The following is a 19557-nucleotide window of genomic DNA, read 5'->3' on the forward strand; positions in this document are numbered from 1 at the left end:
TGTCTATAATATCATGGATCCTCTAAGGATGAACTGAAAGTTGATAATAAAGAAAGGATAGTTATTTACCTCATTCAGTTCCATTGTAAATTATCTATTTCCCTTGTAGTAGAAAACAGAAGTGAGGCTCATTAATCTTTGTTGAACTACTTTGCAGGACCTCCATCTTCACCAAGAAATGTTATCTCTAATATAAACGAGACCTCAGTTATCCTGGACTGGAGTTGGCCCCTGGACACAGGAGGCCGGAAAGATGTTACCTTCAACATCATATGTAAAAAATGTGGGTGGAATATAAAACAGTGTGAGCCATGCAGCCCAAATGTCCGCTTCCTCCCTCGACAGTTTGGACTCACCAACACCACGGTGACAGTGACAGACCTTCTGGCACATACTAACTACACCTTTGAGATTGATGCCGTTAATGGGGTGTCAGAGCTGAGCTCCCCACCAAGACAGTTTGCTGCGGTCAGCATCACAACTAATCAGGCTGGTGAGTACATACTAGATGCTTCTTACTCTTATCATATCACGTCTGAGTAATGGTTTTGACTCTGGGTGGAAAACTGGGCGGAAGGAAAAAAAGATTTTATAGAACCCCAGGATTTTGCCTTCTAACACATTTAAACAGTTATGGCACATTAAATAATTTAATTCTTCAAGTGAGAATAAACCATATTTGTTAGGTGATTTTTAAACTAGTTTATACCCATTGTTTCCCAATTTGAAATCCTTAAATATTTGAGGCTCTCAGATAGTAGTAGAGGGGCTCCTTGGGGGAAACATTTTTATATTTCAGAGAACTTAGGCAATGAATCTTAGCTTTAAAAAAAGTTATGCAGGATATGAAAAATTGTAAATATCTTCAGCTTAGTTAAAATTAGGTATTCCTTTGTTATTTCATACTTCTAAGAAGTTCTGTGTATTATAACTGATAGTTATAAATCTCTGATTGCTTAATAATAACTATGTAGATTACTTATGGATTTTACTTGTGGGATTTTAATTGTGAATCTCTCAAACATATAAATGGATTATATATTACATAGAAATAATGCCCCTTTGAGATATAACAATCATTTTTCAATATTGATAACTGATAAATGAGTAATAAACAGTTTTCTTTTGTATTCAAAATGTCTTGTACAAAGCTAAACTGATAGGTATTTGTTGTGCTTAAATTATTGCTACAAAATGTCAGAATTAGGTATACATCCCAAGAAGCTCAATTCAGAGATATTATTGTCTTATTTTTACACATACACACACACACACACACACACACACACACACACACAAACATTGGAGCCAAAGGGAGAGGGAAGAGAGAGACAAGATGCCACTCTGATTCTCCAGAGAACTACCGATTCTCCAGTTCTCTCCCAGGTGGGGTCACCTCTGAGCTGGTTGTCAAGATTGAGTATAAACTCGGCTTCTGCTCTTCATTTGGCTTACATTATGGACATCCCTCTGGTCCCTAGTGGGAATCACCCCTTGCTCTGAGAATATCAGAATGTGTCCTGGATGCTCTAGGCAAAAGGAAACCAGAGGTGACTAAATTATCTTATCACCTAGGTCTTCTAGTAGCCAAATCATGAGCCAAAAAAACTCACCACATTCTGTTTCCATCACCTGGCTTACTCAGAAAGGTTAGTTCAACTAGTAAAGACACAGAGTAAGTGTCATCTACAAAAGCAAGTATGCATCAATATGACTCTGCTGGTTGTTAACATTTTCATCTATTTATCTACTGGTTAAATGTAGTTCTAGCTGTTCCTGCAGGTTATTACAGAAATGCCTCTCTACTGGTTAATTTCTCAAATACACTGAGTAGTCCCCTAAGCTCAGTATGTCAGGTCCATCTCCATTCTCCCCATCATTCAGCAACCAAAGGGATAAATCTTTGCATAAGAGGGGTATACAGAGCCTTTGGCTAGCACCCGTCTTTCTTGAGGGGCCCCTGTCTTCCCCATGCCAATGGATAGATATTTTAAATATAAGCCATGGCAGAGTCCATCCATATTCAAATATGTATCTTTCTGATTCTAAATTTCTCTTTCGTTTCCACTTTGCTTCTGGTCTCATATATTGATGAAAATCTTATATTTTTACATTCCTCATGATGATAAGTAAACTTAATTTGTGGAAAATACATGAATTTTAAATGAAGTGCACTGAATCATTACTTTAATCTTGCTCACTGTATCTATAATTTCTCCCACTTGGAGCTAGATCCCAGACCAACCAGTATATGCTTTGCTTTGCTTCCGTTAATGGTATTTATACTTTGTAACTAATGATATTTAAAAGTTTATAACTTAGGTTTATTTAACTGTCTTCTATGGGAAAAAATGAGTACTGCAATACTGTTGCTATATATTGCATGATTATGGCTTCTCATCTTCAGCTAACACAGGAATTTTAACAAATTATGATCATGTGGCAAATGGTTTTCCGGAGCGCTATATTTCAAGCTGATTTACTACCTTGTTTAAAATTGTAGCATCAATCTGTGTTACAATTATCTCTTAAGTCAAACAGAATTGTATAAAAACAAACAAGAGCTCCTTATTTCCTATCTTATCATTCCCCTCTGGCTTTCTGACAATGCATTTATCAGGAAACTAATAGTTCCAAATATACACAGTAAATGAATCTAGGCAAAGTGGCAACCAAGATCAGGCCAAGACATTAAAAAATAAATGAGATTGATGCTTTGGCCCTCCCAGTTACAAATCACAGTTTAAGACAGATTCAGCAAAGGTGATAGAAGTTACTTACCCTAGTCTCTCTCCCATTTAAAAAAAATCACTAATGTGTTTATAATATGCACCACCAGGCATTTTATATATTTATTTCAGGATGTCTGTATCATTTTGTGTGCCTGGGGAGATAGAGGTCTTTGTTCTATCTTCAAATCTCCAGGGTAAGATATATAAGCATGATTAGAAGCAATGCCTTTTCTGAAGGGAGTGTTTCTTTGTTTTCCTTTATTTTTGTTCTTGTGAAGGTTAATGGACTGGTAGCCTTGAAAAATAAGCTCCCTACCACTGGAAGGATATGGCTGTGACAGATATGATGCCAGGGTGCTTAAAATCCTCCTAGCCTCTATCTTTGACGTGGATATAAAGGGGAAGCATGAATGTGTCCCTTTTAATTTAGTTTGTGAGATCGAGTTTGTTGATTCTTCTCTTGATGACATTGTAAAAGCATTGTGATGATCAAATGATAAGGCACCTTTTAAATTGTAGAAGATTATGTTGTAAATTCGGATATTAGTTCTCAGCTCTCAATACTTTCACAAAGTATGTCAGTGAGATAAGAAAGTAGGCCACCATATAAAGATTGTATCTGTGAATCCATCAGTCAAGTAAAGAAAGAATTGCAGATTACAAAACAAAAATCTTCAAACTTATAACGACATAAATTGCTGCTTTTTGTTTTCTTTCACAGAATGAGTATATTCATCTTTTTTTTTCTTCTGGACAAAAACAATCATTCCACTAGTGGAATATGCATATCTGTTCATTCTTAACTGCCATTATAGAATCTGCCGCTTTCCACTATTCTATAGCATATAATGATCTCAGACTAGAATAAGGAGCACTAATAGAGAATGTATGTGGCCTTGGGGTTTGGAGGTCCACCTCTACTCTTATTTTACTACTTGGATGAACTGATATCTGAGAAGCTTTTTCAACATTTCATCAAGACAGCAAAGTTCTGAGTAAATTGACATTTCCTCCCTTTACCAGTTTACCCTATTGGAATTCAGCATGTGTATGTACAATTTCTATCAAAAAATTGGATTCATTCACATGTGTGAAAATATTGCAATAGTGTGCATTATGCCTATATACCTTCACCCAGATTTCTCCTAGATTAATAATTTATTCCACGTGCTTTATCCGTCCCACCCCCATCTCTCTTTCTATGTAAATGTTACTTATTTCTGAACCACTTGCAGATATTATGACCTTTTCCTCCTGAACACTTCAGTGACAATTTCTTTTTTTTTTTTCTTTTTTTTTTTTATACTTTAAGTTTTAGGGTACATGTGCACATTGTGCAGGTTAGTTACATATGTATACATGTGCCGTGCTGGTGCGCTGCACCCACTAACTCGTCATCTAGCATTAGGTATATCTCCCAATGCTATCTCTCCCCCCTCCCCCCACCCCACCACAGTCCCCAGAGTGTGATATTCCCCTTCCTGTGTCCATGTGATCTCATTGTTCAATTCCCACCTATGAGTGAGAATATGCGGTGTTTGGTTTTTTGTTCTTGCGATAGTTTACTGAGAATGATGATTTCCAATTTCATCCATGTCCCTACAAAGGACGTGAACTCATCATTTTTTATGGCTGCATAGATATTCCATGGTGTATATGTGCCACATTTTCTTAATCCAGTCTATCATTGTTGGACATTTGGGTTGGTTCCAAGTCTTTGCTATTGTGAATAATGCCTCAATAAACATACGTGTGCATGTGTCTTTATAGCAGCATGATTTATAGTCCTTTGGGTATATACCCAGTAATGGGATGGCTGGGTCAAATGGTATTTCTAGTTCTAGATCCCTGAGGAATCGCCACACTGACTTCCACAATGGTTGAACTAGTTTACAGTCCCACCAACAGTGTAAAAGTGTTCCTGTTTCTCCACATCCTCTCCAGCTCCTGTTGTTTCCTGACTTTTTAATGATTGCCATTCTAACTGGTGTGAGATGGTATCTCATAGTGGTTTTGATTTGCATTTCTCTGATGGCCAGTGATGATGAGCATTTTTTCATGTGTTTTTTGGCTGCATAAATGTCTTCTTTTGAGAAGTGTCTGTTCATGTCCTTCACCCACTTTTTGATGGGGTTGTTTGTTTTTTTCTTGTAAATTTGTTTGGGTTCATTGTAGATTCTGGATATTAGCCCTTTGTCAGATGAGTAGGTTGCGAAAATTTTCTCCCATTTTGTAGGTTGCCTGTTCACTCTGATGGTAGTTTCTTTTGCTGTGCAGAAGCTCTTTATTTTAATTAGATCCCATTTGTCAATTGTGGCTTTTGTTGCCATTGCTTTTGGTGTTTAGACATGAAGTCCTTGCCCATGCCTATGTCCTGAATGGTATTGCCTAGGTTTTCTTCTAGGGTTTTTATGGTTTTAGGTCTAACGTTTAAGTCTTTAATCCATCTTGAATTGATTTTTGTATAAGGTGTAAGGAAGGGATCCAGTTTCAGCTTTCTACATATGGCTAGCCAGTTTTGCCAGCACCATTTATTAAATAGGGAATCCTTTCCCCATTGCTTGTTTTTCTCAGGTTTGTCAAAGATCAGATAGTTGTAGGTACGCGGCGTTATTTCTGAGGGCTCTGTTCTGTTCCATTGATCTATATCTCTGTTTTGGTACCAGTACCATGCTGTTTTGGTTACTGTAGCCTTGTAGTATAGTTTGAAGTCAGGTAGTGTGATGCCTCCAGCTTTGTTCTTTTGGCTTAGGATTGACTTGGCAATGAGGGCTCTTTTTTGGTTCCATATGAACTTTAAAGTAGTTTTTTCCAATTCTGTGAAGAAAGTCATTGGTAGCTTGATGGGGATGGCATTGAATCTGTAAATTACCTTGGGCAGTATGGCCATTTTCACGATATTGATTCTTCCTACCCATGAGCATGGAATGTTCTTCCATTTGTTTGTATCCTCTTTTATTTCTTTGAGCAGTGGTTTGTAGTTCTCCTTGAAGAGGTCCTTCACATCCCTTGTAAGTTGGATTCCTAGGTATTTTATTCTCTTTGAAGCAATTGTGAATGGGAGTTCACTCATGATTTGGCTGTTTGTCTGTTGTTGGTGTATAAGAATGCTTGTGATTTTTGCACATTGATTTTGTATCCTGAGACTTTGCTGAAGTTGCTTATCAGCTTAAGGAGATTTTGGGCTGAGACAATGGGGTTTTCTAGATATACAATCATGTAGTCTGCAAACAGGGACAATTTGACTTCCTCTTTTCCTAATTGAATACCCTTTATTTCCTTCTCCTGCCTAATTGCCCTGGCCAGAACTTCCAACACTATGTTGAATAAGAGTGGTGAGAGAGGGCATCCCTGTCTTGTGCCAGTTTTCAAAGGGAATGCTTCCAGTTTTTGCCCATTCAGTATGATATTGGCTGTGGGTTTGTCATAGATAGCTCTTATCATTTTGAAATACGTCCCATCAATACCTAATTTATTGAGAGTTTTTAGCATGAAGAGTTGTTGAATTTTGTCAAAGGCTTTTTCTGCATCTATTGAGATAATCATGTGGTTTTTGTCTTTGGCTCTATTTATATGCTGGATTACATTTATTGATTTGTGTATATTGGACCAGCCTTGCATCCCAGGGATGAAGCCCACTTGATCATGGTGGATAAGCTTTTTGATGTGCTGCTGGATTCGATTTGCCAGTATTTTATTGAGGATTTTTGCATCAATGTTCATCAAGGATATTGGTCTAAAATTCTCTTTTTTGGTTGTATCTCTGCCCGGCTTTGGTATCAGAATGATGCTGGCCTCATAAAATGAGTTAGGGAGGATTCCCTCTTTTTCTATTGATTGGAATAGTTTCAGAAGGAATGGTACCAGTTCCTCCTTGTACCTCTGGTAGAATTCGGCTGTGAATCCATCTGGTCCTGGACTCTTTTTGGTTGGTAAACTATTGATTATTGCCACAATTTCAGCTCCTGTTATTGATCTATTCAGAGATTCAACTTCTTCCTGGTTTAGTCTTGGGAGAGTGTATGTGTCGAGGAATTTATCCATTTCTTCTAGATTTTCTAGTTTATTTGCGTAGAGGTGTTTGTAGTATTCTCTGATGGTAGTTTGTATTTCTGTGGGATCGGTGGTGATATCCCCTTTATCATTTTTTATTGTGTCTATTTGATTCTTCTCTCTTTTTTTCTTTATTAGTCTTGCTAGCGGTCTATCAATTTTGTTGATCCTCTCAAAAAACCAGCTCCTGGATTCATTGATTTTTTGAATGGTTTTTTGTGTCTCTATTTCCTTCAGTTCTGCTCTGATTTTAGTTATTTCTTGCCTTCTGCTAGCTTTTGAATGTGTTTGCTCTTGCTTTTCTAGTTCTTTTAATTGTGATGTTAGGGTGTCAATTTTGGATCTTTCCTGCTTTCTCTTGTGGGCATTTAGTGCTATAAATTTCCCTCTACACACTGCTTTGAATGCATCCCAGAGATTCTGGTATGTCGTGTCTTTGTTCTTGTTGGTTTCAAAGAACATCTTTATTTCTGCCTTCATTTCGTTATGTACCCAGTAGTCATTCAGGAGCAGGTTGTTCAGTTTCCATGTAGTTGAGTGGCTTTGAGTGAGATTCTTAATCCTGAGTTCTAGTTTGATTGCACTGTGGTCTGAGAGATAGTTTGTTATAATTTCTGTTCTTTTACATTTGCTGAGGAGAGCTTTACTTCCAACTATGTGGTCAATTTTGGAATAGGTGTGGTGTGGTGCTGAAAAAAATGTATATTCTGTTGATTTGGGGTGGAGAGTTCTGTAGATGTCTATTAGGTCTGCTTGGTGCAGAGCTGAGTTCAATTCCTGGGTATCCTTGTTGACTTTCTGTCTCGTTGATCTGTCTAATGTTGACAGTGGGGTGTTAAAGTCTCCCATTATTAATGTGTGGGAGTCTAAGTCTCTTTGTAGGTCACTGAGGACTTGCTTTATGAATCTGGGTGCTCCTGTATTGGGTGCATATATATTTAGGATAGTTAGCTCTTCTTGTTGAATTGATCCCTTTACCATTATGTAATGGCCTTCTTTGTCTCTTTTGATCTTTGTTGGTTTAAAGTCTGTTTTATCAGAGACTAGGATTGCAACCCCTGCCTTTTTTTGTTTTCCATTTGCTTGGTAGATCTTCTTCCATCCTTTTATTTTGAGCCTATGTGTGTCTCTGCCCATGAGATGGGTTTCCTGAATACAGCACACTGATGGGTCTTGACTCTTTATCCAATTTGCCAGTCTGTGTCTTTTAATTGGAGCATTTAGTCCATTTACATTTAAAGTTAATATTGTTATGTGTGAATTTGATCCTGTCATTATGATGTTAGCTGGTGATTTTGCTCGTTAGTTGATGCAGTTTCTTCCTAGTCTCGATGGTCTTTACATTTTGGCATGATTTTGCAGCAGCTGGTACCAGTTGTTCCTTTCCATGTTTAGCGCTTCCTTCAGGAGCTCTTTTAGGGCAGGCCTGGTGGTGACAAAATCTCTCAGCATTTGCTTGTCTGTAAAGTATTTTATTTCTCCTTCACTTATGAAGCTTAGTTTGGCTGGATATGAAATTCTGGGTTGAAAATTCTTTTCTTTGAGAATGTTGAATATTGGCCCCCACTCTCTTCTGGCTTGTAGGGTTTCTGCCGAGAGATCCGCTGTTAGTCTGATGGGCTTCCCTTTGAGGGTAACCTGACCTTTCTCTCTGGCTGCCCTTAACATTTTTTCCTTCATTTCAACTTTGGTGAATCTGATAATTATGTGTCTTGGAGTTGCTCTTCTCGAGGAGTATCTTTGTGGCATTCTCTGTATTTCCTGAATGTGAACGTTGGCCTGCCTTGCTAGATTGGGGAAGTTCTCCTGGATAATATCCTGCAGAGTGTTTTCCAACTTGGTTCCATTCTCCCCGTCACTTTCAGGTACACCAATCAGACGTAGATTTGGTCTTTTCACATAGTCCCATATTTCTTGGAGGCTTTGCTCATTTCTTTTTATTCTTTTTTCTCTAAACTTCCCTTCTCACTTCATTTCATTCATTTCATCTTCCATCACTGATACCCTTTCTTCCAGTTGATCACATCGTCTCCTGAGGCTTCTGCATTCTTCACGTAGTTCTCAAGCCTTGGTTTTCAGCTTCATCAGCTCCTTTAAGCACTTCTCTGTATTGGTTATTCTAGTTATACATTCTTCTAAATTTTTTTCAAAGTTTTCAACTTCTTTGCCTTTGGTTTGAATGTCCTCCCATAGCTCAGAGTAATTTGATCGTCTGAAGCCTTCTTCTCTCAGCTCGTCAAAGTCATTCTCCATCCAGCTTTGTTCCATTGCTGGTGAGGAACTGCGTTCCTTTGGAGGAGGAGAGGCGCTCTGCGTTTTAGAGTTTCCAGTTTTTCTGTTCTGTTTTTTCCCCATCTTTGTGGTTTTATCTACTTTTGGTCTTTGATGATGGTGATGTACAGATGGGTTTTTGGTGTGGATGTCCTGTCTGTTTGTTAGTTTTCCTTCTAACAGACAGGACCCTCAGCTGCAGGTCTGTTGGAATACCCTGCCTTGTGAGGTGTCAGTGTGCCCCTGCTGGGGGATGCTTCCCAGTTAGGCTGCTCGGGGGTCAGGGGTCAGGGACCCACTTGAGGAGGCAGTCTGCCGGTTCTCAGATCTCCAGCTGCGTGTTGGGAGAACCACTGCTCTCTTCAAAGCTGTCAAACAGGGACATTTAAGTCTGCAGAGGTTACTGCTGTCTTTTTGTTTGTCTTTGCCCTGCCCCCAGAGGTGGAGCCTACAGTGGCAGGCAGGACTCCTTGAACTGTGGTGGGCTCCACCCAGTTCGAGCTTCCCCGCTGCTTTGTTTACCTAAGCAAGCCTGGGCAATGGCGGGCGCCCCTCCCCCAGCCTCGCTGCTGCCTTGCAGTTTGATCTCAGACTGCTGTGCTAGCAATCAGCGAGATTCCGTGGGCGTAGGACCCTCTGAGCCAGGTGTGGGATATAGTCTCGTGGTGCGCTGTTTTTTAAGCCGGTCTGAAAAGCGCAATATTCGGGTGGGAGTGACCCGATTTTCCAGGTGCGTCCGTCACCCCTTTCTTTGACTCGGAAAGGGAACTCCCTGACCCCTTGCGCTTCCCAGGTGAGGCAATGCCTCGCCCTGCTTCGGCTCGCGCACGGTGCGCGCACCCACTGGCCTGCGCCCACTGTCTGGCACTCCCTAGTGAGATGAACCCGGTACCTCAGATGGAAATGCAGAAATCACCCGTCTTCTGCGTCGCTCACGCTGGGAGCTGTAGACCGGAGCTGTTCCTATTCGGCCATCTTGGCTCCTCCTGAGTCTCCATATATTCCAGTGACAATTTCTTAAAAACAATAATGCTTTTACATAGTCTCAATATATTTATTAAAATCAAGACATTAGCATTGTTCTATACTATAATCTCATCTGAAGATACTAGTCAACTTTTGTTCATTGTTTCACTCATATCCAAATGGCAAAAACAAATTGATGTTCTGTTTACCTCCAGTTTCTATTTATAATAATAACATATACTGATATAATATAGTTCCCATCCATAAAAATAAATAAGTAATTTTCTGTAAATTCAAGGCAGATGCAAAAAAAAAAAAAAAAGTGGAGAAGGAAGAAGACCAACACTTATTGATAGGACTTTCCAGGTGCTGGATATGATGCAGGGAATTTCAGAGTTGCCATTCCATTCAAAAATGATCAGCAAATTATGATATTTAAAAGAGAGAACGTGACTTCATTTTATGTAGATTTTCGATAGAAGGTGCACTAATTTATGTAAAGGAAAAGATCTTTGAGGCTGTTAGCTATAATGAAGGAATTCCTATCCTCTGCTTTAGACAGAATGACCTCTATTATCTACTTAATTTGATGATCAAAGACAACCTCCTTCTTTTCCCCTTAGATAAACGCCTTCCTTTCTTCTGGCTGAAAATTGCCATCCATTACATGAAGGGATTAAACTGGAAATCCAATAATTATTTTTGTTTTTAATTTATTTTTTGGCATTCTGGGACTATAATTCAAAATGTTGTCACTAATATAATTTTAAACAATTAATTATTTTTGACCTTTAAGACCACCTATGGACTCACTTACTATAAAAAACGTTTATAGGCTTTCTCGTTCATGGTTTTATGGCCTTTTATTTCACAGAATAAAGCAATAGTATCCATTCGTTAAGAAAAGTAAATATCTTTAATAAATGTTAAATAAACAAGATATACTTAAAAAAAGAACTGTAAAATATTAGAGCCCTTTGACTAAATTTAGAATCCACACTAGGCTAGGTGTGGTGGCTCATGTCTGTAATTCCAGCACTTTGGGAGGCCGAAGCGGGTGGATCACTTGAGGTCAGGAATTCAAGACCAGCCTGGTCAACATGGTGAAACCCTGTCTCTACAAAAATACAAAAATTAGCCAGGCATGATGGCAGGTGCCTGTAATTCCAGCTACACGGGAGGCTGAGGCAGGAGAATTGCTTGAACCCAGGAGGCGGAGGTTGCAGTGAGCTGAGATGGCACCATTGCACTCCAGCCTGGGCGACAGAGCAAGACTCTGTCTCAAAAAAAAAAAAAAAAAAAAAGGAAAAAGAAAGAAAGAAAGAATCCACAGTATTTTTTTGCATTTGATAAAGAAAATATTTCTAAGTTTTCTGTAGTTTCATTCTGGAATATGTTTCCTCTAGCCACCTTATTTTTCTTTTGGAACTTAGTGTATGTAGATATGACAAAGAAATAACTCATGTTGAAGATATCAGTCAGGCTTCAGCATTTCTGAAGAAGCAAACATTTTAAAATAAAGGTAGAATAAATGCTTAGCTGAATCTGCCATTAAACTATGGCCACCTATTGGTATAGTCCCTATAGAACTGTATGTTGCCGTGTAATTATACTCCTTGGAAGTAAATTAAACACCAAAAGGATCTACATGAATTCTTTCAGAACATGAAGGTAGACATTTTTCAGCGCCAATGTAGCGAATCGGAAACTGTAAACATAATGAAAATCACCTAACAAAATAATGAACATCATATGACTTTAGTAATGTTCTATGATGCATCCTTCTCTTTGTTTCATTTTATGATTAATGAAACCTAAAAATCAAAGTCTTAACATTTTGTTTATCTCAACAAACAAATGACGTCTGAATTTGGCCCTGAGAGTATAAGTGGTTATATACATTATGATTTTCACAGTACATCATGCTTGACTGGCAATTCAGCTTCTTCCTGTTTTGAAATCAAGGCAGATACCTGTGCATCTGGGAATGTCACTGTGCAGTGATGTGTCATAGTGTGGCCAAGCCTTCCACATCATTTAACACATTAATGATGCCTCTCAGCCATCACACCCTGGTATGGAGGCACATTGCGTAACTGTAGAATGAGCAATAAGCTGTAGCAAAAGCAAAAACCATATATTGTCCTGACAGTTATTCAAAACCCTTATATGAGCTTAGAGGCCATAACAAAATGGAACATGAGCTAAGGAAGACAGTTGGAGAGCTTCATGAATCTAAACTGAATTTTCATTCCGTCTTCATTTCTGGTTTTATATACGACTCTAATTAATGGAGAAGACATGTACGTGGAAGGGTATGATTACAACTTTCATTCAAGAGTTTTCACTAGAAAAAGAATATTAATAACCAGTTAGAGGAGTAAATATAGTGTTAACTAAAGCACATGGAAATTAAGAAAGAATTAGACTTTTGATGCTAACTTGTTGTATGTTAACTATATTCCCCCAAGGGCAAAAAATATTTAATTCACAGAAAGTTTTCTCATCCTTATTTTCCAAGGAGAACATTTTTAGTCTCAAATCACAATAAAATCATATTTTATACTTTAAATGTGTTCTACCTCCCTAAAGTTAACTGAAATATAGTCCTTAGGATATAATAGCATCGTATGTGAGTAATTGAGAAATTTAATAAATGCAAGTATTTAGAAAGAAAGAAAATGTTCTGTTTCCAAAAGCAGATATATTACTACCACTGGCAAAACTCTTTCATAATAAATTCTTAATTATATTTCAGCATCTCCCAAAGTGTTATCTCAGTGTGAATAACCATCATACAGCTCAGCATTCTGACTTTATAATCCTATCAATATAGTACCAGTGTTCAAATAGAAAAAAAAAATACATCCCTTTCTTAAGTGACTTTATAGATATCTATCAGGAAATTATTGCAATAAGTATCCAAATTACAAAGACTATGACTATGAGGTATGGCACCCCTATAAGCAGGGGCCCTGACATTCTATACCATTCGCACCAAAGTAAAAGAATGCCAAGGCCAAAGAGGTGAGAAGTTCATATTTTCTGCTCCTTTTTATTATTATTAATTGCTGACCTAACTCTTCTTGACATGATTAGCACTGCACTCCAGTCCTTTATGTAATTATCTTATTCAATCTTACAACAATTTTATATGGCTATAAGTGAATAAGTGTCTTGTCCATGGCCGCACAACTCCAGAGCCCCTATCTACATATTCTTTTTCCTATGGGTTGCAAAGGAGAGGCTTTGCACAAAATCTAAGTAAGGCTGAAGAAAGAAATATATAAAGATGGTTATTTTATTATAGTAAAATCTTGACTGCCTGGTACACAGGTGGTGTGATTTCTTCTTTGAAATCAAAATTTCACATGATTGTATTTACTCTTAATCAATGCTAATTCAAAAGCACCCTCTTGACAATTCATCATCCAGAAATAACCTCTTACTCCTTTCCCTTTTCATTTCAATTGGAAAAAAAATAATTATAACAAATTGACAAAAAAAAAAAATCTGTCTCTGGTCACAAGTTTTTCCTAGGAAATAGCTTTAAAGGCAAGGCCATGTGCCTGAGTAAGAAGAGTTCTGGAATGTGTGTCCAAAGAGGTAAATATTCATCTTGATCCCACTCCAATTGGGCCTCAGAGTAGGTCAGAACTATTGCTTTATCTTTCTGTGAAATGTAACATTTGGACTAGACCATTTCTAAGTTTCTTTCCAATTATATATTCTAGGAAACTAAGTTAATGCACATTGTATCATGTACTTAAGAAAAAATAATCCACTGTTTATAAGTGAAGCAAATATGCCTTGGGAAAAAAAGGTATTTGAAAAACAAAGTGGAACAGGACAGTAGCAAAAGTCCAATTGTAAATTCAGGTACTGTCACTTAATAATGAAGTGACTATTTTTTGTATTTTTAAATTTGGTTTGTTTATGCATTCATTTGCAATTTTGTTTAGAAATGAATTTAAGGGAGTTATTGGACTAAACTTACTGGCATCTTTGTATCCTTTTTGATTATTGGTACAGTAAGTCCTACACATAGATTGTTGTGAGGAGTAAATAAAATGAGAGAGCATTTGTGACTGGGAAAGGGCTTGAATAAGTTGTGCTCTGTCTCCATAATGATCATGCAGATCTTCCCGTGTCTGGGGGAAATAGAAACTCTTTTTTTTTTAATTAAAAATGTGAATAAATATATATATATTTTTTATTTTATTATTATTATACTTTAAGTTTTAGGGTACATGTGAACAATGTGCAGATTAGTTACATATGTATACATGTGTCATGCTGGTGTGCTGCACCCATTAACTCTTCATTTAGCATTAGGTACTTCTCCTAAAGCTATCCCTTCCCCCTCCCCCCACCCCACAACAGTCCCCAGAGTGTGATGTTCCCCTTCCTGTGTCCATGTGTTCTCATTGTTCAATTCTCACCTATGAGTGAGAATATACAGTGTTTGGTTTTTTGTTCTTGCGATAGTTTACTGAGAATGATGATTTCCAATTTCATCCATGTCCCTACAGAGGACATGAACTCATCATTTTTTATGGCTGCATAGTATTCCATGGTGTATATGTGCCACATTTTCTTAATCTAGTCTATCATTGTTGGACATTTGGGTTGGTTCCAAGTCTTTGCTATTGTGAATAGTGCTGCAATAAACATAGGTGTGCATGTGTCTTTATAGCAGCATGATTTATAGTCCTTTGGGTATATACCCAGTAATGGAATGGCTGGGTCAAATGGTATTTCTAGTTCTAGATCCCTGAAGAATCGCCACACTGACTTCCACAATGTTTGGACTAGTTTACAGTCCCACCAACAGTGTAAAAGTGTTCCTATTTCTCCACATCCTCTCCAGCACCTGTTGTTTCCTGACTTTTTAATGATTGCCATTCTAGTAAGATCAAATTCTGATACATTTCTTTGGTGTGATTGGCTTAGGCCCCAAGTTTTTTTCAAAATCGCAATTCATATCTATAATGCGTGACAATCCTCAATGTAATAGGTCATTCTCGTGTTGTTCGTTGCACACATATACATATGTATATATAATGTATGTATATCCATTGATTCTGTGCCATCACTGAGGTGCCCTACATAGGATGTAATGGAAATGACTGATTGAAAGTTATATATATTGGCCTATATCTCTTAGTTGGGCTAGAACAAGAACCAAAGGCACACATAAAATAAGAAATTGATAAGACTAATAAAAGGACAACCAACACTTTGGGCAGCCGAGGCGGGCAGATCAGGAAGTCAGGAGATCAAAACCATCATGGGAAACATGGTGAAACCCTGTCTCTACTGAAAATACAAAAATTAGCTGGGTGTGGTCGTTGGTTGTGCATCTGTAATCCCAGCTACTCGGAAGGCTGAGGCAGGAGAATACTTTGAACCTGGGAGGTGTAGGTTGCAGTGAGCCGAGACTGCACCACTGCACTCCAGCCTGGTGAAAGAGTGAGACCCTGTCTCAAAAAAAAAAAAAAAAAAAAAAAAAAAAAAGCACAATCAAGCAAAGATATCGGCAAAGAGTAAAGAAAAGAGACGGTGATACGGGAAGAAACCAGGTGGCAACAAATGTTCTAATAATCATTCTGGATAAAGAGTTAGAAGAATACACTTTACCAAGGCCCAGGTTGTGACAGGAGACAAAGATTTTACAACTACTTAGGAAATGCTCACTTTTTAATTTTTAATCACTAGACTGTTAGTGGTTGACTTTTTCTACAAGTTTATTTTAATAGATTCACTGTAATTCCAAGATGAGAATGTCAGATGACCCCAAAATTAATTGTGCATACCATAGATATTTTAAAGAAAGAAAATTTTTGCATCTTTACTTTTATTTGTTTAGCTTATCACGCTATTTGAATATACTTTGTGGGCAAAGTTCGTCTATCTTTGTCCACCTAAGGAGGGCAATTGGGTATATATCCTCTAAAATGAAGTACATGTTATGGATATTTATACAGATTTTCAACATATCAAAGAATAACATTCTCTATTTCTGTTTCAAGTAGTAAAGCTTGTTTTATTTCTCTTCTATTGAAATGATTTCAAAAGGTTTTTCATAGTTGATATCTGGGATACATTGCCTACTGTTCCATTAACTCCCAGTTAAAATAAAACAACTAGGCTAAGAACATAGCATGCTTTTCTCTTGGTTTGAATTGATATAGTAAAAAACTTCAGTTTAATTTGACATTTTTATATCTGAAAAGTTTGAAAAAAATCCCATCCATCTTCCCTGAGGTATGTTTCCATTCTAAGCTGCTTTTACAAATTCTTATTATTGCAGATATAAGATAGATGTCCTTATTAAAATCCTAATATAAAATGGCTAGAAGAAGAACTAGGTTTTACAACTATTCATATGTGTATGTGTTTATATTTGTATATTCATGTGCGTGTGTATATATGTACATGTATAAATTAGGAATGTAAAGATCTAGAAATAATAAAGTTATAGAAAGTATATGGAGTCTAACAGATATGAAAGAAGAGAGACTTTTTTTTACTAAAATATTTGAACAGGATAGTCTTTTTCTTAACCATCTCATCTGTTAAATAAGGGTTATGGCTACATTGAGATATTGTGAAGTCAAGAAAAAAGCATATATAATACCTTGTGTGGTGCTGGCTGCTTATTAAGTGATCAATACTTGGTAGTTAATATCTTTCATAAACATTTGGAACATTTAGCAGTAAATGTGGTCTAAAAAAAAACCCATTTAGATAACTCCAGGTTTTCTTTGGCAATAAATAACACACTCAATTACTTGCCTTTTTCTGTTCCCAAAGCATTGACTAAGCCCTTAGTATGAGCCAGTTACTATACTGGATCTACTGGGATAAAATGATGATTAAGATGTAGTCACTACTTTCAAGGAGCTCTCAATTTAGGACATCTTAAAGGTTTCATGAATACAGCATGAAGTTGATTGGTTTGGCCAAGAAAAGACAGGCAAAGCCAGCTGCCAAGAGAATTCAAAAAGCATCAACAGCTCAATGAAGCCCCCCAGTGAAAGAGATTGGTCTTGAATTCACAGATTATATGACATTAAGTATAATAGTTTTATCTTTTTTTCATTACTAAAGCAGAGGAAAAAAAGAAAAACCTACTGATTACACATGATGCTAAAAAACTCGCATGCTGTCCCAAAGTTTTTCACTAAAGAGAAGGAAAGTAAATGAAATGCTTTAAGTTATGTACAAATTCGATGATAATTGCATGTGTATTTTAATGATCTCTCAAATGCATGTATCTGGTTTATGAAAGCACATAGAATATGTGAACTTATAACAATGGGACAAGAGCAAATGTTTAAAGTTGTGCAGTAAAACTCACCACATTAATCTGACTTATTTGTCTATCTGTCCATTTACTTACCTATTTGATTAAGCTTATTGTTATTAGTTTGGAATTAAATATTCTAGTTAAATAGACAGTTACCACATAAAGTATATAAAACTAGAATGCATTAAAATATAATCAACAGTAATTAGTATGAAAGTGACTCCTTATTTCAGATAAAGACAATGTCTAAAGTTTAGAAATGTTTAGAATAATCATTTTAATTATGAATTATAATTGTTTTGAAGATACCTGGCCAGAATTTGACACTAACATAATAGTAAGTCAGGTTTTACTAGTTTGCTAATATTTGTTAAGACATACATGTTTACAAACCTTGCCTATTTGTGAAAGTTAAAAGATATTGCTTTCTCTGTATGAAAAGTAAAAACGATTAAAATGAGTTTCAAAAAAGATATAAAGGAAAAATCCACTATTTTATCTATGTTAATCTACATGCACACTTTGTTGAGAAGTAAGAATTTAGCTGTCTTGTTGGGTAGTACTTAAGGAGATTTTATAATTTATGTACATTTCACATGTAATACTGGTATTTACACACTATTTGCTGTATTTTTTAGCACTGTATGATGTTTTTTAAATTGTGATACATTTTCAGATAATATATATTCCTCTACTATCAGTAGCCATTTCTTCTTTAGATGAACTGGCAAACATTATATATTGTGTGTGTGTGTGTATATACGTTATATATTGTGTGTGTGTATATATATATACATACATATATACACATATATACACATATATACACATATATACACACATATATATACATATATATACATATATACACATATATATACATATATATACATATATATATACATATATATATATGCATATCTTTGGATTGTTGCAGTGGCCTGAGGGAATTGTTGCCCACATTCAAAATCAGAATATTTATTATTTAAACTAACAACCAATACTGTACTGTACTGTACTGGGCATTTTCGAGATATCATTTAAGCCTTAAATCAACCCTGTAATGGAGACATTATTACCCTTATTTTTAGAAGAAACTTATCAAGAGTTTGCCAGTCCTATTTATCTAACTCAAGTTGCTAGGGAGAATTTGAACCTAGATCTTTCCAGTGCACCAATAATTTCCAAATTTCAGTAAACAACTTACTGCTTTTAGGAATTTTGCTTCATCCATATGCCACCAGGACTCCTACAACATAATGTGCTTAAATCAAGCCTCTCTTTTTTTTGGTTTTGTTTTGCTCTGAAATGTGAAAACAGTTTGCTCCTATAAATAGAAAACTAATGTTACTTGCCAAAAATTTATGACTAATTAGATAATAATTGCTTGTCCACATAACACCTAAAATTCTTTCACCAAACACCATGAGTAAACTTGGAGCACTATGAGTAATCTGCTGATTCCTATCAACACTACCTCACTGGCAATTGCTTATAAGGATCACTAAACCACAGGCCATCCCATTTCAGCTAACTGCAACTCTATGCTTTTAGTTATTTCAGTCAAAGCTGTTGGAGTCATTTGGCGCTTCTCTTTCTCTCAAACTGTATATCTACATCAGCATAGTCTATACAACATGCCTTCAACATATCACAAGAATCTCACCACTTCTTACAAGATCCATTGCTACCACCCTAGTAGCATCATCTTCCCCAGATTATCGAAAATGCTCCCAACTGCATTTCTTTTTTCACCCTTGCCTTGAGAACACATGGACACAGGGAGGGGAACATGAAAAACAAGCCTCTTATAACTATACTCATGTTTATTATTATTTATTTTATTGCATAAATTAGCAATGTTTGCAGTTTTTTAAATTATGTCATAACTAATCAAATTTCCTGTGTAATTTCAAATATTTAATTCACTTCTCATGTATTATTTCCAAGGTGACTGGCATTACTTTTTAATTGACCAATGACAAAATTTAACACTCACTTCTCATATGAACAGATAGGTTTGTTTAAAAAATGGCTTAGGCAGGAATTGCTAGTGAACATGTGCCCTTAAATGCTAACTCACAATTATGGCAACTTACTGAGTCAATGGTTTGGGCACTTGGCAAGTCTTTCTTCAGTTAACATCTTGCATATAAAATATTCATTTTCAGAATTTTACCTAGAGTGCACATATGGTTTTTCAACTCAAAAGACTACACTAAA

At 36.5% G+C, this 19557-nt stretch overlaps 1 protein-coding gene across 5 annotated transcripts in view; it reads left to right on the top strand.

Annotated features, from left to right (window-relative positions):
* Positions 1 to 19557, top strand: part of EPHA3 (EPH receptor A3) — a 374514-nt gene that overhangs the window by 233977 nt on the left and 120980 nt on the right. For all 5 annotated transcript variants that reach the window (NM_005233.6, NM_001410778.1, XM_005264715.4 and 2 more), the window contains exon 5: positions 158 to 493. In NM_005233.6, coding sequence (NP_005224.2) covers positions 158 to 493 — 336 coding nt within the window. The remainder of the gene's footprint in view (positions 1 to 157; positions 494 to 19557) is intronic.

The sequence above is a fragment of the Homo sapiens genome, chromosome 3 (assembly GCF_000001405.40).
Source record: "Homo sapiens chromosome 3, GRCh38.p14 Primary Assembly".
In the NCBI taxonomy this organism is placed as follows: Eukaryota; Metazoa; Chordata; class Mammalia; order Primates; family Hominidae; genus Homo; species Homo sapiens.